This window comes from Homo sapiens, chromosome 8 (genome assembly GCF_000001405.40).
Source record: "Homo sapiens chromosome 8, GRCh38.p14 Primary Assembly".
Classification (NCBI taxonomy): Eukaryota; Metazoa; Chordata; class Mammalia; order Primates; family Hominidae; genus Homo; species Homo sapiens.
In genome coordinates this window covers 22,809,824-22,833,883 of record NC_000008.11, presented here as the reverse complement: position 1 = coordinate 22,833,883, position 24,060 = coordinate 22,809,824, and the positions used below count along the sequence as shown (strand labels likewise).

The 24,060-nt window shown below is 44.4% G+C and overlaps 1 protein-coding gene and 1 long non-coding RNA gene across 3 annotated transcripts in view, besides 1 other annotated feature; both read left to right on the top strand.

Moving 5' to 3' along the window:
- PEBP4 (phosphatidylethanolamine binding protein 4) overlaps positions 1-24,060 on the top strand; it is a 227,827-nt gene that overhangs the window by 107,194 nt on the left and 96,573 nt on the right. For both annotated transcript variants that reach the window (NM_001363233.2, NM_144962.3), the window contains exon 4: positions 16,149-16,247. In NM_001363233.2, the coding sequence (NP_001350162.1) occupies positions 16,149-16,247 (99 nt within the window). The remainder of the gene's footprint in view (positions 1-16,148; positions 16,248-24,060) is intronic.
- Positions 16,263-22,479, top strand: LOC105379325 (uncharacterized). Its single transcript, XR_949584.2, has 2 exons — positions 16,263-18,826; positions 22,079-22,479. It is a non-coding gene; the product is annotated as an uncharacterized LOC105379325 (long non-coding RNA).
- Positions 21,610-21,788: a silencer, noted in NCBI's record as "fragment chr8:22669609-22669787 (GRCh37/hg19 assembly coordinates)". NCBI's record gives its function as "represses an EF-1alpha promoter that drives an FKBP-Casp9 reporter gene in an ReSE screen in HepG2 liver carcinoma cells {active_cell/tissue: HepG2}" and the evidence as "EXISTENCE:reporter gene assay evidence [ECO:0000049][PMID:32094911]".

The following is a 24,060-nucleotide window of genomic DNA, read 5'->3' as shown; positions in this document are numbered from 1 at the left end:
TCACCTGGGAAACTTATAAACCAACAGCAACACCTGGGCCCCACTCCAGACTCCTTCAATCAAAACCTCCACCCAGTGGGGCCCAGCCTTGGTAGCTTGAAGAGTTCCCCTGGTGATTCTCACATTAAGGCAGGGGTGAGACCATTGCCTTGGAGAAAATGGCTCTCCACTAATCACGATCGTGAAGCTTAACCTAGCCAGGTCAGCTCAGTCTCCTACTCAAGGACAAGAGAGTGCTGGAGACAGTAACCCACATTCGAAATCATATCAGAGCCTGTAATCCCAGCACTTTGAGAGGCCAAGGCAGGCAAATCACTTGAGGTCAGGAGTTCGAGGCTAGCCTGGCCAACATGGTGAAACCCCATCTCTACCAAAAATACAAACATCAGCTGGGCGTGGTGGCATGCACCTGTAATCCCAGCTACTCGGGAGGCCGAGGCAGAAGACTCGCTTGAACCCTTGAGGCGGAGGTTGCAGTAAGCCGAGATCGCGCCACTGCACTCCAGCCTGAGTGACAGAATAAGACCCTATCTCAAAAAAACAGAAAGAGGGATCATGCCATGCTTGATGGTCCTCAGTTTCCTGTAGACTCCAGATAGGCTTGATGGATAACTGAGCCTTAGGAGTCAAGGGCCCTGTTTTAAAACATACCAGGGATTTCTTCTAATTGGGTATGGTAAGACACACAGAGGGACATGATGGTGATGAAGGAAGTTCATACTCACAGATATCTAGAAACAGGAGGCACAGCACACCACACAGGGCCAGTCAGGAGGCAGAGGGAATACGGGGGAAGCATGGGCAAGAACCTTTATTGTGGTTTTTGCTAGAAGGAATGGGTGAGACAGGGTAAGCAGGGTAGACAGGTTTAGGATTGGCTGATCTGAATAATTCTGGTGGGCTCTGGGGCACGGGGGCTGCCCCTTGTTGTCCAGTGTCTGGTCAAATGATTGGGACTAGGGACAGTGACCCAGCCTGATAAAGGAGATGGGTGAGGGTGGGGGCTGTGGGTGGGTGGCTGGCATTTGAAGAATGTGCTCTGGGGTGGGTGTTTGCTATCTCTAGGAATTAGCCCTGGGAAGGGCAGTCTCTCCAGGTCAGCAAGGCTCCAAGTGTCACAGCATCAGAAAATACAGAAAATAAAAACAGTCCCCACCTTGCCAGTGCTTCTAGGACTCAGGACTGTCTCAATGTCTGCTGAAATCTGATCACATTCCATCCTAAGGATACTTTTCGTTTCTCCTCTTGGGGAAAGGCAGACACGCAAAGACTCCCCAGTGGCAAGGCAGGAGAGGGCCCCAGAGATTTTCTCTCTGCGTCAGGAAAGCCCCTCTCCCTGAACATCTTAGGTCAGGTTGCTATAACAAAAATTCCATAGACTGGGTGGCTTAAAAAACACACATTTATTCTCACAGTTCTAGGGGCTGGGAAGTCCAAGACCAATGTGCCAGCAGATTCAGTGTCTGACAAGGGCCTGCTTGCTGCTTTGTAGTTAGCCTTCTCACTGTGGGTGCACTTGGCAGAGAGCAGAGAGAGAGGGAGGAAGTGAGTTCTCTAGTGTCTCTTCTTATGAAGGTACCTAGCCCATCACAAGGGCTCCACCCTCATCACTACCTCCCAGAGGCCCCACGTCCGAACACCATCAACTTGGGAAGTAGGGCTTCCACACATGCATTTTGGAGTTGCAAACATGCAGCCCCTATCAGCATTGCTGCACTACAGAGGGTGTGGCACACTGGTCTGCCTCCAGGAATGACCACTTTTGTGCCATGCTGACCCATCCCTCACACGAATTGGTCTGCTAGCCCCCACTGGCCTTTATCGTGCCCATTCTTATCCACCCCCACCACATCACATGCAGGAATTCTCTCTCTACAATCCAGCCCTGATCATGTCAGCCCTACTCCTCCCCTGCCCCTGCCCCCGCCCTTTTCATCTACAAACCTCCCCTGGCACATGCTCATCTGCCCTCATCAATCTTGCTGGGCTCATCCACTGCCACTCCACTTCACCTCTTGGCCTTGTGAACTCCACCCTCCAGACACACAACACAAGTTGCTGCTCCCTGCCTGTGGATGTGCTGCTTCCTTTGCCAGGCATGGCCTTCCCTCCTGAGCACACTCCACTCCTCAGGACCAGCTCAGCGGTAGCATCCTCTGCTGGTCTTTATTTGGTCACCCTGAGCAGGGTCCATCACGTCCTTAGGTTTGCTTCTCCAGTGCTAGGTATATGCCTGGTTACAGCACAGAGGGTCCTTGGACCCTCTGCACACACATCCAACTCCCCCTGTAGGCTACTATGTCCTCAAAGGCAGAGGCATGCCTCTCTCATCTCTTATCCCAAGCCCTTAGCATGGTGCTTAGTATATGAAAAGAGCTCAATCAATGCTTGTTGAATGAATGAACAATGGGACTACCTGGGCCAATATATAATTTATTTATTCAAAAATATTTATTGAGTGTCTACTGTGTGCAGACACTGTACTCTACTGGGAATATAATGGCAAGCAGAAATAGATGCCATCCCCACTTTCAAGGGGGTCATACTCTTGTGGGAGACACTGACATTAATAAAAAACTATGCTGATTAATGTCTTACTGATTATAAACTGAGATGAGCATCAGAGGGAAAGAAATGCAAGGATGATTAACAAAGGAACATAATCTAGAATGGGGCTCAGGAACACTTCTCCAGAGAAATGACCTTGAATTGAGTTCTGAAGAATGAATGAAAGTTAAGTAGTTCCAGGGATGGGGTGTTCTAGACATAGAGAAAACATATGCAAAGGTGATGAGTGGGGAGGGAGCAGAGTGAACCCTAGAAACTGGAATACAGGGTGCAGGAGAATGTGTACAAGATGACAAGGACAGTGGGCTGGTTGCAGGGCCAAATTGTGCAACACCTTGTAGAACACATTAAGGATCCAAGGGAAGCCAGAGAAGGATTTTAAGCAGCAGGATCACATAATCTATTTGTGTTTTGGAAAAAAATACTTTGGATCAGTGTAGAAAATTGCTTAGGGTTTCAAAGAGACCAGTTAGGAGGCTATTCCAGTAGCCAAGACAAAAGATGGTGGTTGATGTGGTGGTAGTGGTGATAGGGGGGAAATGGGTGGATTTGAGGGCTGTTTGAGAGGCTGAATTGACAAGAATTGGCGGTGGATTGGAAAAGGAGGAAAAGAGGGAGGAACATGGTAAAGATGGTGCCCCGGTTTCTAGTTTGCATTTCCAGATGCAAAATAGGAAACTCTGGAATACCAGGCAATGTTGTTGGACATGATGAGTGTGAGGTGCTCTGAAACAGCCAAAGGAAGATGGAAAGTGGGTCATTGGACATAGGGTCTGGATCTCAGAGGACAGCTCTGGTTTAGAGAAATAAATGTGGCTGTGGGTTGATGTTCCTGAGTCGGAGGTTAGGGTGATAAAAGAAGATAGCTGGCCAGGTGCAGTGGCTCATGCCTGTAATCCCAGCACTTTGGGAGGCCGAGGCAGGCAGATCACAACACAAGGTCAGGAGATTGAGACCATCCTGGCCAACATGGTGAAACCCCATCTCTACTAAAATACACACACACACACACACAAAAATTAGCCAGGCGTGGTGGTGCGCACCTGTAATCCTAGCTACTCAGGAGGCTGAGGCAGGGGAATCACTTGAACCCAGGAGGTGGAGACTGCAGTTAGCCGAAATCGCACCACTACACTCCAGCCTGACAACAAGAGCAAGACTCCGTAAAAACACACACACACACACACACACACACACACACAAAACCACAGCCTAGGACCCAGCAGTGGGGAAAACAAGGCTTGAGGAAGAAGAATAGGATGGAAGCACAGAAGTCATGGGAAGAAGGTATTGCTATAAAGAAGGGGTGGGCTGCCACGTCAACTGCAGCTGAGACGCCAAGTGTGATGAGGATTGGAAAACATCCATTGGATTTGGTGACATGGAGGTGGTGATCTTAGCAAGGGCTGCAGCAGAAGCGATGGGGGCAGATTGGATTAAGGAGTTAGTGGGAAGTAAGGAAACAGGCTGAGGGTGTTGACAGTTATTTCGTGGATTTTGCCTGTGAAGCAGGGAGGAGACAAGGATAGGGGAAAAGCAGGGGAGGATATGGGGCCAAGGAAGGTGTCTTTAAAGATGAAAGAGACTTGGTCATGTTTTAATGATGAGGAGGAAAAGGAGAATGGAATATTCAAGAGAGAGAAGGTATTGCTGATGATGGGGAGAGGATCCAAAGCATGACAGAGGAAGCAATCTCTTCCTTCCTGGGGCCTGAGCCACTCAGCTTCACTAAGACAATGGGAGAGGAGAAGAAGAGATTGGGGGCAGATGCACTGGGGAGTTGCAAGCCTTGAAGAAGATCTTGAAGAACTTACTATTTGATGCCTTCAATTTCCCCTGAGAAGTCATCAATGAGAATGTTACCTACTAAGAGAGGGGTCAGGGAAGTTAGGGGAGGTTGGAGGTTGGAGATTTAAGGATATTGGAGAAGGCTTGAAATATTGGAAAGTCATGAGTAAGGGTGGGAGGGCAAGTTGACCAGAGAAATTTGGAGTGGCACTCAGGGCCTGTAATGAAGCTGGTAGCCAAAAATATAGGGTGGGGCCAACCTCTTCTGTGATGTGACTTTCTGCTGCAGCACTCACTGCTCAGGTCACACATGGAAGTAAAGGAAAGCTGGGTTTACCCAGCTTTGGGGTTTTGTCAAGAAAATGTTCAAATGGCAGAGGACAAGGGAATTCAGGTTCTGGCCATTTAAGCTGATTAAGACACAAGTGAAGAAAATCGCTGCTGTGCAAAATTATCAGCTCCCACTGATGGGCTTTGAGAAAGGAGTTACCAGTGGCCTGGAGGTCCCCACTGAGGTTGAAGACTACTCCCAGTAGACATAGTTGAAGAAGCAAGCTGGAGAGAGGGGGGTTATGGCCAGAATTAGTGATTTTTGGAGGTGGAGCCGTTTGGGGGATGACAAGCAGCTTCAGGGTGTAGCTATGGAAGTCGATGGTTGAGATAGAGAGGGAAAGATTGCCCGAGATGGAAAGACCCAGGAACCAGAGAGGCCATGGTGTTGGGTGGCTGTTCCACATGTTTGCTAAAGTCACCAGAGTAAGAGCAAGACTCAAGGACACGAAGGAGATTGGGAGCAGGTGCCATTGTCTTTGGTGAATGTAGCAACCAAGAAGTCATAGATGACAGCAACCAAGACAGAGGATGTATTCAACTAATGGCGTGTGCCACAGAGAAGGCAACAGGGTGCAATGGCGTCTACCCAACCTCCTGACCCTGAGGTTTATGGGGTGTGAGAGAACACATACCACAAGAGAGCAGTGAGGGGAAGGGGATCTTCAGGGGAAAGCCAGGAAAACAGAAAGAGGTAGAGAGCAATTGCTGGAGAGACAGGATGCAGGGGAGATGGCTTGTTGTCAGTGGCAGTTCCAGAGCAAAGAATGGAAGGGTTTAGAGATAGAGGAGGAAAATAGGACTGTCTCAGAGACAAAGAAGAAAAGAACATTTCAGGCACAGTGATGAGGTTGAGGACCGATGGCTGGGAAGGCAGGGAAGGCAAAGGCTTTGTACAACCCCATGTACAGATGGGGATTGAGGCCGGAAACCAGAAGTTCAAGAATGAGGCAAGTCCAGCCCTGACAGCTGATCAGAGCAGAGTTCCAACTGGGTAGCCCCTCTCCCATCTATGGAAATATTTGCTGCCATCTTGCTTTCCACTCACCCTGCTGCCTCCATTTTCCCTTACTCCTTGGGACACACCTATTACAATTATTTCTGGATAGATAATCCAATTTTAGAAGATAAATAATCCAATTTTTAAATGGGCAAGAAATTGACATAGACATTTCACCAAAGATATAAAAATAGTCAATAAGGACATGAAAAGGAACTCAACATCACTAGTCCTTAGGGAAATGCAAATTAAAAACATGAGATACCAGTTTACACCCACTAGCATGGCCACAATCAAAAGACAGACAATTATAAGTGTTGACAAAGATGTGGAGAAACTAGAACCTTCTGGTGGAATTGTAAAATGGAGCAACCACTTTGAAAAACAGTTTGGTAGTTTCTTAAAATGTTAAACATAAATTTACAATATGACCCAGCAGTTCCACTCTAGACGTCTAAGCAAGAGAATTGAAAACAAGTGTTTGCACAGAGACTTACAGCAAATGTTCACAGCAGCATCATTCATAATAGCCAAAGTGGAAATAAACCAAATGTCCACCAATTGGATAAACAAATGTGGTCTCTATCCATACAATGAAATATTATTCAACAATAAAAAGGAATGAAGTACTAATACATGTACAGCATGGATGAACCTCAAAAACATTACGCTGAGTAAAAGATGCCAACACAAAAAAAAACAAGTATTATGACTCCATTTATATTAAATGTCCAGGAAGGGCAAAAAGGAGATTACAGAGACAGAAAGTAGATTCATGGTTGCTTGGAACTGGCGGGGGGAATAAGGAATGACTGCATACATGGTACAAAATTTCTTTCTGGGATGATAAAAATGTTCTAAATTTAGATTATGGTGATCGTTGCGCAACTTTGTACATTTTTTTAAAAATCATTGAAATGTACACTTAAAATGGGTGAAGTTTATTATATGTAAACTATACCTCCATATAGCTGTTTTTTAAAACTTTATCTGGACAAATCCAGATCTAATTCTGTTTCTATGTCATCATCATCCTCCCAAAGTATTGTGATTTGTTAATGTGGCTTCCTACACCTTGCTCATGCCCTGCTCCATAGCACCCAGGGTCTTATTCCAGCAGTTGCACTTCCCCAAATAACCTTCAAAAGTGGAATGAGGGTTCTCTGAGCTCTCCTTGCTGCAAAGGGACAAGGCCATCCTTCTTTACCTCTCAGCATCAGTGAAAGAGAACTAGAGACTGATGTCTCCAGGATAATGATGATACACCTCCAAAATATTATGTGACTGCTGCACATTCCACGTTATTTTATAAGTTTGGTTTATTTTTAGCAGGTAATAGGTATTCACATGGCTTTAAAAATCAGAATGATAGAACACACATATAGATGTCTCTATCTCATCTACCCATATCAATACCACCACCCACAGCCTCTCTTAGTTTTTTAAGCACCCTTCCAGAGTTTGTTTATGTAAATACAAGCAAATGTGAAGAAATATCTTATTTTCTCCTTCTTCTATAAAAATAAAGCAATAGATATGCTGTTCTGCGCCTTGCTTTTTACACTAAAGTTATCCTGGAGAGCTTTTCATATCAGATCTTAGAGATCCTCATGGTTTTTTTTACAGTTACGAAGTTTTCCACTCTGAGTACATATCATTGTTTATTAACCAATCCCCAGCTCATGGGCACTTGAGTTATTTCCAACAATGTTCACTTATTTTCTACTGTGACAGGGCTGAAATGAATAACCTTATATACAAGTCATTTCATAAGTGTGCAGATATCTTTAGTTGGAAAAATCACGGAAGTGGAATCACTGAGTAAAAAGGCACATCACTCATATTGTGCATTCCTACAACAATGCATGCAGCCTCAGTTTCCCCGCAGCCTTGCCGGCAGAGTGTGCTGTCAGGCTTCAAGATGTGCAGTGTCTTTGGAAAGAACTTGGATTTCATCCTGCCTTCTTCAAGTGGGTTTAGTTTATTTTTATTTTATCTTATTGTGATAAGAACACTTACCTTGAGATATACTCAAAAGATTTTTGAGTGTACAATATGATATTGTTAACTATGGACACGGTATTGTACACCAAGCTTTCTAGAATTTCCTTCATGACTGAAAGTCTATACTCATCAATGAGCAACTCCCCATGTCCCCCCACCACCCCACGCCAACCCTGGCAACCACCATTCCTCTCTGCTTCTGTGGGTTTGACTATTTTAGATATATCATGTACGTGGAATCACACAATATTTGTCCTTTGGTGACTGGCTTGTTTCACTTAGCATAATAACCTCAAGGTTTATCCACGTTGTCACCAACTACAGTATTTCCTTTTTAAGGCTGAATAGTGTTCCATTGTACGGATATACTACATTTTCTTTATCCATTCATCTGTTGATAGACATCCTACTGTTTCCTCATCCTGGCTATTGTGAATAGTGCTGCAGTGACACCTGGATTTCTATCCCCCAAAGTGTGATTGCTGGATCATATAAGCAGTCTTATTTTTATGGTATGTCTAGATAGCTCTGAATCCACCATGTGGATGTTAGAACCCGAGGGAAAGTAGATCACCTGGCTCAGCTACCTCATCTTTTAGGAGCAAGCCAGAAAAGAGAAGGAATTAGCTAAGAACCACCAGTCCATGGTGTAATAAGCATTCATGGGCACCTATTAAAGGCTGGCATTTTACTAGGTCTATACCCCTACAGAAGTATAAAACAGTCTCTATCCTAGGCAAGAAAACATGTGGCAAGTATAAAATTCCCTAGATTCACTTCCCTTGTTGGAAGTGTTGATGGCACGTTCTTCTGTCTTGGCTATGCTTAAAGAATGGGCTGCCATGGTCAGAAATTAGTTTCACCGGCCAGAAGGAAGACGTGCTCATCTCCTCTGAACACTATTCCATCCTGTCAGCTCCATGGACCTACAGAAGTGGGTGGGCCCAACTTCAAGGAGCCTGGCTAAGGGCTAAGCTCTTGAATAGGTTGTTTTCCACTTTCTTTGGTGAACAAGCACTCCTTTGCCACATCTGCCAAACATTTGCTAAGGAGCTTCTGTTGGCAATGACTGTTATGAAAGGTCTGGGACCCAGCTCCCTGATTGCATTGAGAGAGATCTGCAAGACCACCACAGAAGTCTTTGAAAACGTCTCTTCTGGGGCTGCTTAGCAGAGAGGAGATCTAGGGTAAACCTCAGGATATGACCATCTGCAACAGTGCCCTGCAATGCAGACTCACCCTACAGCAGGAGTCCCCAACCCCCAGTACCGGTCCATGGCCTGTTAGGAACTGGGCCACACAGCAGGAGGTAAATGGTGGGCCAGTGAGTGCAGCTTTATCCATATTTACAGCCACTCCCCATCATTCCTGTTACCACCTGGGCTCCACCTCCTGTCAGTTTGGCTGTGGCATTAGAGTCTCATAGGAGCACAAACCCTATTGCGAACTGTACATGCAAGGAATCTAGGTTGCAACGCTCCTTATGAGAATCTAATGCCTGATGATGTGTCACTGTCTCCCATCACCTCCACATGGGACCCTCTAGTTGCAGGAAAACAAGCTCAGGGTGTTCACCGATTCTACATTACAGTGAGTTTATAATTATTTCATTATCGATTATAATGTAATAATAATAAAAATAAAGTGCACAATAAATGTAATGTGCTTGAATCATCCTGAAACTACCCCTCACCCTCATCTGGGGAAAAATTGTCTTCCACGAAACCAGTTCCTGGTGCCAAAAATATTGGGGAGCGCTGTCCTAAAGAATCAGGCAGCAGTGTAGGGTTAGGGACAGGAGGGGCCACGGGGAACATCAGGGCAGGGAGGGAGAGCAGTCTGCCACTGAGAAGACTTCCCTTGGCTATTGTTTAAACAGGAGAAGAATGAGGGTTCTGGGATTTCTCACCATGACTTTTTTTTTCCTTGAGTGCAAATCTTTTTGTCTAAGTATAAAAGCAATGCATTTTATTGCATAAACTTTGGGAAATGCAAAAAACTACAAAGAAGAAAATAAAGTTCATAATTATCCCATCATTTAGAGATCATCGGTCAGCATTTAACTTTCTATTTTTCTGGTTTTCTCTCCATAGAGTCATGTACATGTGTACAATATGTGGTTTTGGTCTTCTCTCCTTTTTAAAAAATAGACAATGACATTATAGAGTTCATAGGATTTGGAGATCTACCCATTGTTTCTACATACCTTAAAAACTCGAGATAAACATGAAAACTTTTGTTAATTTTATGGGCAAAGATTGGATCTTATTTTATTTTTTGCATACCTTTTATGACTAGTAAACTTGTTCGTATGGTCTTTGATCATTTGTGCTCCTTATTTTATGAGTTACCCATTCATGCTGTTCATCCATTTTTCTATTGAGTTATTAGTCTTTTTTTATGGATTTAAAGAGTACTTTGTATATTAAAGATAATCACATTTTTTCATAGATATTGTAAATATTTGCCCTCAGTTTATTGTCTTTGAATTTTATTTTGGACTTTTTTTGCCATATAAAAGAGTCAAAATTATATCTAGTTAGATATATCAATCTTCCCTTCATGACATTTACTGTTAACAGTTTGGTGTGTATTTTTTCAGACATTTTCTATGCATATGCAAATATATCTATAAAGATATATATATATAGTTAGATATATAAAGTTTTCCTGCACATTTGAGACATCATGCACATTATTCTGTAACTTACTTATTTCACATACTAGTATATTTTAGAAAATTTCTTATATGAGTATATAAAGATCTAACTCTAACAGAGTGTTCCATTGCATAAATTTAATATTATGTTATTAAACCAGTTTGAAAGCTTGTTTTTCATTTTCATATTTAAATATGGAAGTTTTCTGGTGTCTGAAAGAAATAGGGACCTAAGTTTGTTTATTCCACATAGTGAGCCAGTTTTCCCAATATCATTTATAAAATAATCTATTTTTTCCCCACTGATCTGAAATTACTTTGTCATATATTAAATAACATTTTAAATTATAACTATCATGTAGTAAATATACATATATTGAAAACTCAACTTTCTCTCTGGATTTTCTATTTTGATTCCTTTACTTATGTATTTATTAATCAACACCATATTGTTCTAATTATTGTAGCTTAAGATATGTTAATATCTCCAAAATTATTATCATCCCTATTTTATCTTTTTCAATATTGCCTTGGATAATTATTTTTCCTTTATTTACTTGTTGTTTACATTTATTATTACCTTTAGAATTATTCTGTGATGTTCACAAAACATCTATTTAGGATTTTGATTGGGATTGTGCCAGATTAAAAAATTAATTGAAGGTTTATTGACATTTTTGCAAAATGATTATTTCAATTTAAAAGCATTGTATTTCTTTTTCTATCCAAGTTTCCTTCTTTTGTGCATCAATAATGTTTTTGTTTTCTTCATATAATCTTGCATTTACCATCAAGCTCATTCTTACTTATTTTACATTTTTTGTTACCATTGTTAATGGGATCTTAAATGTATACTTTAGGACTATTATTAATATGTAGAAAGTACCAGTTTTGTGTATAATTTGTAACAGTTTACTGAATATTACTTTTGTTTCCAGTTGATTTTTTAAAATTTCTCATGTAGACAATCATGTCATTTGCAAAAAAATAAAAAGAAGAAGAAGAAGAAAGGAAAAGAGAGAGGGCATATGGCTTTATTTCTTCATTTCTTCTTTTATCATGTTTACACTTTGTTTCTTTTTATTTTCTTATTACTTTCTTGGATGTGTCAGATACTATGTACAGTTTTCTCTTTATGGGATTCTACTGGGATTTTACACACACACACACACACACACACTTTAGTATATATTCCTTCTTTTCACCTACTATTTTCTTTTCTTCTGAGTCCTTGGAGATTTTCTTGGGTTTATCTTCTCATTATCTGATTTAATTTCCTATAGCATCTAGTTTGTGGTTTACAGCTTCTTCTGGGTCTTAAAATCCAACGGTCATTATTTTTACCTTTAAACTAATCATCTTTGGAAAGGTGTCCATAATCCCCTCATTGTCACAACCAACAATCACTTTGTGGCCCTCATCTGCCTTGATGACTGTGATACTGACACAACCTTTATCCCTTCCTTCATTTCTCTCTTGGCATCTATGACAGTAACTCCCCTGGCTCTCTTCCGAACTCTCTTCTCCTCAGCCTCTTTTTTTTTTTTTTTGAGACGAGGTCTTGCTCTGTCGCCCAGGCTGGAGTGCAATGGCGCGATCTCGGCTCACTACAACCTCCACCTCCCGAGTTCACACCATTCTCCTGCCTCAGCCTCTGGAGTAGCTGGGACTACAGGCACCCGCCACCACGCCCAGCTAATTTTTTATATTTTTAGTAGAGACGGGGTTTCACCGTGTTAGCCAGGATGGTCTCAATCTCTTGACCTCATGATCCGTCCACCTCAGCCTCCCAAAGTGCTGGGATTATAGGCATGAGCCACCGCACCCGGCCCTCCTCAGCCTCTTTCTCCCTTCCTTGTCCCGCTTTGAGTTCCCAAGTTCCACCACACTCTTTCTTTTGTTTTCACTCTACAGATTCTCCCCAGGCAATCCATGAATCTCCACTGCCCATTTGCCAAGTCTTGAGAGAGCGCTAACTTCATTTACAGGGCATCTCTCCCTGTTGATTTCAACACCAAACTCACTGCCTCACTGTCCCCCTGACTTTGCTACCCCTAATATCCATGGCTTCATTATCACCAAGCTGCCCAAGACAGAATCTCAGAGTCGTCCTGGCTTCTTCCTCTCCTACGTCTGCCCTACCCGGTCACCTCATGCTGTGAGTTCTGCAGTACACATGTCTCTCCTTTCTATTACTACTATTTGAATGGAAATCCCTGTGGTCTTTCTCCAGAGTATTGCAGTTTTCAGGGTTTGTTTGGATTTTTTGCTCTGCTTTTCATCCTTTATTCTATCCTCTTCATGTCTCATCATGTGTCTTCCCAAAGCCCATGTGTTTTTTGTTTGTTGAGACAGGGTCTCACTCTGTCATCCAAGCTGGAGTACAGTGGTGCAGTCATGGCTCACTGCACCCTCCTGGGCTCAAGCGATCCTTCCACTTCAGCCTCCCGAGTAGCTGGAACCATAGGCATGGGCTACCATGCCTGGTTAGCTTTTGTATTTTTTGTAGAGACAAGATTTTGCCATGTTGCCCAGGTGGGTCTGAACTCCTGGGCTCAAGCAATCAGTCCACCTCAGCCTCCCAAAGTGTTGGGATTACGGATGTGAGCCACCATGCCCAGCCCCAAAGCACACATTTGATTATATGAGTTGCCTGTTCAAACAATTTCAGTGGGTCCTGTTGCATAATAAATTCTAAACAACTTATGACGTACAGAGCTTTCTGTTCTCTGGTCCCAATACCCATTTCAGCTTTGTCACCCACTATTTCTTTTCAGATGCCTTACGGCCTAGCCATTCCCCAAAAATCCACCCCTGCCTTTGCACATGCCCTTACCAAGTACCTAGAGAGTGCTTTTCCTGATACTTTACTGATACTTTACCTGCCTTTGAGATCAAGCTCAAAAGACAACTCTGCAGCCTTCCTGGACTCCTGGGGTAGAGAGATTTAATCTCTCTTTTCCCTTTCCCCTCCATGGTTGATAAATGCTCCTCTGCTTAAGCATTTAGAACATCAGAAAGCATTTAGAACAACAGGGTGTGCCTGCCTCTCCCGGTCAAGGGGAGGGCCAGGACGGTTTTCCATTTACTCCATTCATCTTACTCACTTTTTCCTCTCTCACTTCCTTCTCTTCCTTCATACTCACACCTAAGTTCCCATTCAAGTTAAACCCAACTACCACGTATTCCACACCTGTACTTGAACAGTTAAAAAGGACACAACTGTGAAATGTAATACTATCTGGTAACCTACCACATACCTATGGTATATTCATTTTCTCACTCTCTTAAATGACTATCTCACACCTTTTTCTCTGTCCCCAAACTTCCTATAATCCCTCTTCCCCTGATAAACTTGCCTCTAACTCATTGAAAAATAGAAGCAATCGGAAGACAATTTCCTCATTCCTCACTATCTCACCTTCCAATTATCTTGCATCTGAACCCATGTCCTCTGCTTCTACCCAAGATCTAGCCCTTCACTTTCACTCTGGATCGTGTCCCCTCTCCACTGCCCAAAGCTCTTGTAATGATCCCCTTCCTCCTCTCTGTCATCTCTACCTCCCTTTCTATACTGGACCATTTCCATTGGTCTACAAACATCATCCCCCTCTTTAAAAAATATCTTGGGCTGGGCGCGGTGGCTCACGCCTGTAATTCCAGCACTTTGGGAGGCCGAGGCAGGTGGATCATGAGATCAGGAGATCGAGACCATCCTGGCTAACACGGTGAAACCCCGTCTCTACTAAAAATATAAAAAATTAGCTGGGCGTGGTGGCGGGCGCCTGTAGTCCCAGCTACTTGGGAGGCTGAGGCAGGAGAATGGCGTGAACCCCGGAGGCAGAGCTTGCAATGAGCCGAGATCACACCACTGCACTCCTGGGCAACAGAGAGAGACTCAGTCTCAAAAAACAAAACAAAACAAAACAAAAAAACAAAAACAATCTTGACTCTTCTTTCCTCTTTAGTTATAGCCACTCCATGTCTCAGCTGTCCTTCCTACCAAAATTTCCCTTTTTATGATCATCTTTAATAGCTATCTCTAACAGCTATCTCCAATTCCTCGTCTCCCATCTCAGCTCAGCCTATTCCAGCCAAATATCAGTCCTTTCTACTCCACTGAAACTGGTCTTATCGTGATAACAGTGATATCCAAGTTGTCAAATCAGATTGTCACATCTGTGTCCTCATCTGGCCCTACCTTTTAGCAGCATTTGATATAGCTGATCACTTTCTCTTCCTGGAGACACTTTCTATCCTGGCTTTTGTGACACCTGCTTTCCAGGTGTTCCCCCAAACTTTTTGGCTCTAAAGTCCCCTTTCCCTGATTCTCCCCTCCTCTCAATTGTAGCATGTTTTACAGTTCAGCCATGAGACCTCTTTTCTTCTCTGTGTCTGCTCTACTGATTTAAAGGCCATCTCTATATCAATGACTACCAAATTTATTCACCCAGTCCTGATCTCTCCTCTGAATTACAGACCGACATGCATACCTATATTCTGAGGGGCATTTCAAACTCAAGATATCTAAACCAGAACTCTGAATGTCCACCTTCAAACAGCCTCCTCTCCAAGTCTTATTTGTACCATTTAATGGCCCAGTTGCTCAAGCCAGAAACCCAGGATTCATCCTCAATTTCTCTTTCTCCATCCCCCTCCTTACTGCCGTGCCGTTGAATCTATCAGCAAACCCTGCCGATTTTACCTAAAAATACTCCCCCAACCCATCTATTTGTTTCTGTCTCCATTTCTGCCATCCTAGCCCAAGATACCAACATCCTTCCCATGCTACTGCGAGTCTCCTAACTGGCCTCCTGGCCTCCTCTCTGGCCTTTGGAGATCATTCATTTTCTACTCAGCAGCCAAAAGAATCCTCTAAAAGCATAAATCAGAGCATATCACTGTCCTGCCCCAAACCCTGAAACAGTTCTGTGTTGCACTTTGAATAAAACCCCACTCCCTATCCAGGCCTAGAGAGCCCCCTGTGGCCTGGCCTCTGCTCCCTCCCCTGCACCTGCCATGTCCACCCTCCCCCTTGCTTGTCCCTGGCCACAATGGTGCTCTTTCTTGCTCCTCAAAGCCTACTTTTTTCCCACCTGAAGACCTTCATAGCAGCTATTTTTTTCCTTCCAGAACACTTCCCACCTCTCATCCCACCCTGTTTTATTTTCATCATAGCACTACTCACACGTTCCCTTGCTTATTTATTTATTTTTATTATCTGCGTCTTTTACCTAGAACAAAAGCTTCCTGAAAGTATGGACCTTACTGTCTTGTGCTCTGTTGCCTCCTGGCACCTAGAGCAGCTTCTGGCACACAGTAGGTGTTCAGCAAAGGCTTGTTGAAGGGATGAATGAATCCTGGTGTTCTTTGTGATAGGTACCGTTCTTGACACAAAATAAGTCCTCATATATTTGTTGAATTGATAAACAAGTCACTCCAACTACACTGGATTCTTCTTGAGAGGACCAGAGACCTGTTTTAGGTTTCCTTGATTCCTCCACGGCACTCAGCACAGCGCTCAGAACTTCCCAGGTGCTTGGTATGTATATCTTGTTGGATTTATTCTTCCTCACAAAGAGGAAGCCAAGAGTCCTGCTGTCTGCTTCACAGATGCCATTTCTCTGAGAATAAACGTGATGTGAGAGGGATGTCACGAGAGCAAGGATAAACTGGATGGGACGCCATAGGGGCTACTCAGCCATTCTCGGTTGGAATGGCGGGAAAAGGAGGTCTGCCCCGTGGTATTTTCCTATTTCAGCCATGACGCTACATTACTTTTCGGTACATGTGTTACAGGGCGCAACCTATATCCTGGTGATGGTGGATCCAGATGCCCCTAGCAGAGCAGAACCCAGACAGAGATTCTGGAGACATTGGCTGGTAACAGATATCAAGGTAAGCAGGCCAAGAGGCACTCTCTGACGCATTTGGGGTTGTATCTGGAAGATTATCATTCAGTGCAGTTCCCACCTCTCATCCAGGAAGGTTGGAGCGAGGACTTCTGTGTCCCATCTCCCCCAGTGCTCAGCTATCAAAGCCCTCCCAAGTTTTCCAACAATTTCAAAAAGTGTCCCAGGGCCAGTGGTATGCTGGTAACCCAGCTTTCTAGAAGGGTGGGGAGAGTCCTGATTTCTAGTGTTTGCTGATTTTTATGGTATAAATAAATACTCCCACCACGGGAGTGGTGATTTAATTTCAAGCTCCTGATGATTTAACAACTGACTCACACTGTTTCTGAAACGTTAACAATTGGCTTCAGCACACCACTGGATTTGGGGGCACTGAGGGGATTCTGAGACGTGCAGGTGGCAGAACCGGCCAGGAGAAGTCCTGGAGCTCCTCCCCATGATGGGGCATGGGGCATGAGAGAGGCACAGCAACTTCCTTTTCTTTGTGTACAGAAACAAGTGGCCGCCTCTCATCTTTGTGTCTTTGTCATCACGATAATTGTGAAGGAGCCTGGCTCACCCTCTTCAGGGAGGGTCCTCAAATCTGGTGGCTTGTTTGTGCCATTATGTGGGAGGGAAAGGCTGTGTTGCCAAACAAGTTTTGGATACTCTGAGTTGAACTGAATTCATTCTGTTTCTCACTCAAGGGCTTTTGGAGCTTTTACTAGTCTAGTATGCTCTATATCATATACACTGATTTTCCAGTTGCATTTGATTATTGAATCCTTTTGTTCATGAGTGCCTGGCAGTGCTCTTTGGGGAAGTCCACACTAGCCTCAAACAGTCACGAATCTGTGCCTAGAACACCTGCAGATGGGTTTTGCAAACAGTATACAAAGGCATCAACTCTGTAAGATAGTGGGAACTCGGAACTAGAAAAACAAAGTTTGGATGTGGTTTGGACCTTGGCTGGCTACCAACCCAGTGACCTCTGTCGGCTCCTCTGGGCATTTCATCTTGCTCTGTAATATGGGAAATGTGCTGCTGACTTGCTGTGATTGTCATGATGAGCCAATGACTTATGAGAGCACTTTGGAAAACAAATAATTCTGCAACTATGAAGAGTTTATGTTTTTCCTTCTAGAACTGTGGGTGGAGGAAGGGGTTTAAATCTGAACTAGCTTGTGACTATCCTGAGCAAGGCAGGGTTTTCGCAGCCACTGGGTGGGAGTAGGGGGGTGAGAGGGTAGTTACCCTGGCAACCAGCTGGTGGCCCAGTGACCGGGGCCCCTCCCACGGAGCTCAGGTGGACAGGCATCCTTAGAGGCAGCCCTGCCTATGGCCCTGGAAGGGGCTTCCTCAAGGGAGACCCAAGCAGCAGCTTCGTGGGCAGTGCTGGAGCCACCTCTGTTACTCCACACACTTCCCTGGCCAAACACCATAAACACACAAAGGGACAGAGCTGGGAGGTTTGAGCCATCAGGAAGGGGAGAGGAGCAGTGGGCATGAAAGAGAAAGAACTGGCATCTCCCCCTCACCCCCCAAGGCTAGAGCGTTGTCATTTTCTGAACTTAGGCCTCCCCAGCGGTCTCAGGGGTGAAACACTCAAGAGAGAAGTATTGCCCTGAAGGTCACATTCACAGCCACCCCAGGCACACAGGGCTTCCTGTTAGGAGCTCTGCTCGGCGGTCCTGAGGCCGGAGTGCAAAAGCAGTTAGGGTGGGATGACTTCAGAATTGAGAGGACTTGGGACCATGAGGCTGCCTCTCTTCCAAGCCTGAAGACCCCCGACTCCTGCACTCCCCTTACCCCCATACTCAGAAGGGACCTCTCACAGGAGCTCTGTACAACGAACATGAATTTAGCCTCAGCAGCCCAGCTTAGAAGTAGAACAGGTGGCAGGTGACAGGTGGCAGCTGTCCGGCAAGGCTGCTAAGCCACAGAGCTTACCAGTGCCACCTGCCCGGGTGCGGCCCTCGGCCTTCCCGCTCAGGCCGGAGGAGGCGCGGGTTTCCGTCACATTTGCACTGCTTCCCTCGTGAGTGTTCAGCAGGAAGCGGCAGCGATATCCACTTGGCCCTGCCCACCTTCCCCAAAATTCCACCAGCCACAGAGACGGTGTCAACCAAATTCATTTAGGTCTCAGATTCTAGACCTCGACCAGAGGAAGTGAAGGCTCTGATCAAACCCAGAGTACTTCCTTTGTGTTGGTGTTCACCACTGCTAAGTGGGTCTCAAACAGTTGAGTGCATTCGAATTGGCAGACGAGCTTGTTAAAATGCAGCTGCCTAGGCACTACCCCACCCGCAGAACTTCCACCTCGGTCGGTCTGGGGAGAACACGGCATTCTGGCTTAACAAGCATCCAGAGGGGTTGAGCAGATTGAAGGAAGACCATAGAGCTGGGATGCCTCGGTCGTTCTTAACATCACTCATTTGTGGAGCAATTTTCAAGCGAAAAGCACTTTTAAAACTCTTGAAACTCAACACCACTTTGTGAAATAGACATAATCCTCATTTTATAGATGGGGAAAGCAGAGCCCAGAGAAGTTGAATGATGCCATCTCTTAGCTAATGGGTAAGAGAGGTGAGTCTTCAATCCGCGTCCCTTAACCCCAAGTCACATGCCTTTCCTGCCGTACCATGTGGCCTGAGTTCACATCACATCTCTCCCATCAACTCCACTAGGACAAGGAGCCACTATCCCCTCTCTATAACAAGGAAGACATCATCTCTGTGGTTCCCTCCACCACCCCCCGGTTCACTCCCAGAGTTCTTTTTCTAACTATCCTTTATGGGTAGATGCTTCCAGGGAACTGTCCCCAGTGAATACTATCTTGTTAAATAAAACACACTAGGTAAGTGTTTTGGACCCCATAATACTACACCCTAAATACCATCATTACCCAAGCAGCCTTAGTAGGAAAGCCTGCCATAAAGTCTCTGCAGACAGAGAGGGACCATGGCCCTGTGGTTCACAATGACCACAGAAGCAAACTTGGTGGAACTTCAGCTGACCCTGATATTAGGGGGCCAGGTCTAACTGGATGGTTGATCAGGCCATGGCCATAGGAACCCTTCAGTAGGGACAATTTTTTGACAGGCTATCTGGGTTGAAACAGGACAGCAACGAGTTTTTAGGAATACAAGAAATATCTGTGGCACCCCCCACCTCCACTCCAAAGAGGGGCTGGCAGGGTTTAGTACGGAGTAGGATAAAGCTCTGGAACTTTGGATAACTTAAATAAAAGCCAAAAGTTAGATGCCTGGCAGTAGGGACCGGGCATTAATTCATGGTACCCCTTTGTTCGTTTAATTCAAGAAATATATATAGAACACTATTCAGTATAGCACAGTGGTTAAGAGCAAGGACTCCAGAGCCAGACTGCTGTGGTTTGAATTCCTAATCTACCATTATTAGCTGTGTGATCTTGGGCTAGTTGCTCAACCTCTCTGTGTCTCAATATACTCACTCGTAAGCTGGAGATAGTAGTGTGCCTACTTCACACTGTTGTTATGAAGCTTAAGCGAATTATTTTAAGGATAGTGCTCAGAACAATACCCAGAACACATAGTAAACTCTACATCATTACTTGCTCTTATATTATTATTGCTGTAAATCAGGCAGCTAGGTTAGCATTGGTGACACAAACGCAAACAAAATTGAGGAAGGCTCTGCCCTCACAGGGCTTCTATTCTAGAGACCAAGGAAGGAATCTGCAGCACAGTGGTGGTATTACGAGACCCCCAGAGGCTGGCTTGGGGTGGAACTTCCTATACCTGTGGGTTTCCATCAACTCAGGAACAGGACTAGGCTCCAGTCTCCGAACCTGGCCAGGCTAGGACAGGCAGAGACAGATACATAAGGTATGCTGTCCCACTTGGCTCCCTCTTTGAAAAGTTCTCATTGAGCAAGAGCGATTTCTAACTGAGCATTGACAGATAACATCTTTCTCCCCGACTGCAGTGTCCTTAGCATTTCCTTAAAGATGATCTTCAGTTCTGACTCCATCTAACTAATAATCTTCATGCTGAAAGCTCATTAGGATATCAATTAATTTGCATCATTCATTTTCAAAGAAACACTTATTGGTGCATCTTTTATTTGTCTCTGAAGTTAGTGTTCAGAGCTTTTCATGCAGATATTTTCATTAGACTTTTTATTGTTAATGGGGATATTGAACACGGGAAGATGGTATATTAATACTTTCCACAAAGAATATCATGATTGGTGACAAAGAACACTAAGAACAATTAAGGAGACAAGAGTATCTTTTTTCTTCCAAAAAAGAAAATCTTCCTAGAAACCGTCAATGATTCTAAAATTTGCCCTGAATATCTTTTTTGTTTTAAGAAAGAAAAGGAAATTGGCAAGTTCATGGTTCCCTTTCATTCAGTGCCCTCAACCTTTGGCAACTGTAAATGCAACCAATTCTGGGTTGAATTAAAAGAGTCTCTAAAGGGTCATTATTTTGTCTACTTTTCTGTAGGGTTAAATTTTTCCATAATTAGAGGTTTTTTCCTAAGGGCTTCTAAGTGCTTTAGGTGAATAAGATAATGGGAAATCCAATAAACAGGGCAAGAATTATAGCTCCCTGCTTTCTAGTTATGTGGGTAGCACATGCCAGGACACTTGTGCTTGAGTGATCGGTTCCACTGCTGAGCGAGTTGTTTGACCTCTCTAAGACTGCAACTTCGCCTCTGTGAAACTGACAGAAATCCTCACTCTTCAGGGTGGAGACAAGGAAAAAGGAAATTACATATGCAAAGAGGAGAAGCGTCCCTAGAGAGAGGCACTATAGGAAGCGGCACGTGTATCCTTGTGCCTAATCAATGGAGCAGCAGAGCCTGTAGAAATTTAAATATATCGATATAAAAATAATGATATAATCTCATTTTCTATATATCCAGAACCACACTAATGATAATAAACAGAATAAACAATCTTTATCAGGCCTGCAAGTTCAGATGAAGAGGTCAAACCAAGGAGATGGGATTAATAATGACTTCTGTCTTTAGAGCTGTATTTGCAGTTTTGCCACTGATATTTGTGCAGTTTCCCATGCATGCTTTGACCTGTACTGTGAGGATCCATTTTAACTAATAAGCAGCTAAAAGGCGTGACTTAGGCTTCCTAACATGTAGGTTCAGCTCTATGGGCCATAAAGAGTGCTTGCTGATGGAGACAGCACAGAGGTGGCCATAAACCAGGTGATTATTAACCAGACTTGTATGTGGCCACCCTGAAGGGAAAGGGAAAGAGCTCGGACTTTGGGTCAGATGAACTAGAGGAGGTTCCAGGCTCTGCCGCTTCCAGGTGGGAAGGACCTCTAAGTACATTAGGTGAATAAGATAATGGGAAATCCAATAAACAGGGCAAGAATTATGGCTCCCTGCTTTCTAGTTATGTGGGTAGCACATGCCAGGACACCTGTGCTTGAGTGATCGGTTCCACTGCTGAGCGAGTTGTTTGACCTCTCTGAGACTGCAACTTTGCCTCTGTGAAACTGACAGAAATCCTCACTCTTCAGAGTGGAGACAAGGAAAAAGGAAATTACATATGCAAAGAGGAGAAGCCTCTGAGGCTCAGTTTCTTCATCATTAAAATGGGCATGATAATATCTATTTCCCAGCGTTCAATGAGATTAAGTCTTCTGACACAGAATAGTAGGACTTTGGTAAATGTAATTATCTCCCCTACAGCCCCCAACTTTGACATCTGACCATAGCAGCTACTTATGATTTAGCAAACTCCCTTAGACAATTGGACTCAAGTCTTGCAAAGTGAAAATTCTAGACAGTGCCCAACACAGCTCATCCTTTTGCCCTTTGAAACTAGATGAGTCCAGGCCCAGCCTGGAGGACCTAACGTGACCCCAGCTGGCTTTTGAGGAAACCAAAGCGTGTTGGAGCCTGGAAGCCTTTGGTCAGTCCCATCATTCCACCTCTAGGGATCCCCTGTGACCTCCTGAACCAGAGCAGACTCCCTGGAGCCGTCCCAGGCCACAGCCCAGGTGTGATGCTGGGCTGCAAGTGACAGCCAGGCCTATGGTGCACTGCCCACATTTGGGGCTGCAGCCCCTTCCTCTCCAACATTTCCCACCTCTATTTTTAACAGAAGCCAGTGCCCCTGCCATCTCCTTATCACTCACAGTCCCACTCTGCTGTCATTGTCCCGCCCTAGAGATGCTTTTGCTCCCATTCAAAATAATTTAAATAAAATGTTGCTACAAAGCGGAATATTATCTTTTGATGAATGTTTTTAAAGCCCTTTAGGTTTTCATGGTAATTTGCGATGTGAAATTATTTGGAGATAAGAGCCAAATTAGCTCTCGTATGCTGAGGTCGCTGTGTCCTGTTATCCATGTGAGCAGTGTTTAAATATAATCAGCCCTTAGACTAATGCAGCATAATTGTTCATTTGAAATAGCTTTTTTTCACTTCATTCAATGAGTCATTAAAATATTCAAGGGATAATGCAGTGAATTGGAAATGAGTTTATCATATTATCCCATACATACTGTAGTGCTTCAGGTAACTAAGGAGAAAGAGAGAGAGAGAGAAAGAAAGAGAGAGTGCGGATATGAATAAGGTATACATGCAGGAAGGGAGCCAGTATATACAGGAATATTGTAAACAAAGCTTTTTCGTTGGTTTATGGCAAGCGTGTATAGAGAGGCTGACTAGGTGGGGTGAAAGAGAAAGAAAATGCTGTTCTTCTAGGAGGTTTCTCTCTCTCTCTCTCTCTCTCTCTCTCTCTCTCTCTCAGCACTCTGAGATTCTGTGCTCCACCACAGCTCCACTGTTAACTTATTTTTATCAAATATGTTTATATCAGAAAGTCGTTATGGAAACCAATTCTGCCATCCAGGAGAATTCCTGGATCAGGCAGAAAACTCACTCTTTCTTTCTCTTTCTCTCTCTCTCTCTCACACACACACACACACACACACACACACACACACACACACACACCCCTCCATGAGACACCCCAAAGGGAACAGCACAGTCTCGCTCACCCAACTCTGAACTCAGCTCTGAGGGGGCAGCTGGTGGCTCCTGGCACTCCTTCATGGGCAAAGCCAGAAAATGTATAAGACCAACAGCCCAAATCCATCCTTGCCCTGACATGAGGAACCCGGGCTTTTCACTGTCCTTTGAGCCTCAGACACCCACCCCTGAGCAGATGCTCTTAGGAAGCGAGGGGGTTGGCGGTGGGGGAGGGGAGAGGGAGAAGGGTGGGCAGCATCTTTGAAGCATGGTGATCCTTCCTCGGTCTTAGAAAGTTCTATCTGTTTGCATTGTTTATGCCACACTGGAATAATGTCTTCTGTTCTGGCCGCAGTAATTTAAGAGGGATAATGACCAGCATAGGAAAGCAACCTGAATGGTCAGGTTCTGTAGAAACCACATCAGGTCAGCAGCAGCGGAAGGAAGTAGGAAAGGCTAGCCTATTGGAACAACTACGGACACACGAGAAGGAATGGCCTTTAAAGAGTTAAGGAAATCTCGTTGGAAAACAGAAGAGATCTTGCTGGACTCCACCAGGCGGAATCAGGACCAGTGGGGGAAGTTTTCCAGGGAAGCACATTTTGGTCCCTTATGAGGAAGAACTTTCTAAGAATTTGAACTGCACAAGAACTGAGCATATATCCCACCAAGGAGCTGGCTTTTATTAATGACAGTAATTATCCATGGGTGACCCAGGAAATTTTCCCACTGGGTAGAAGGCTGGTGCAGGTGACCTGTAAGGTGTGCCCCTTGGCATCTCCCACAGTGTCTCCACCTGGCATATTGTCTCTCCTGGCCACAGATACTCTT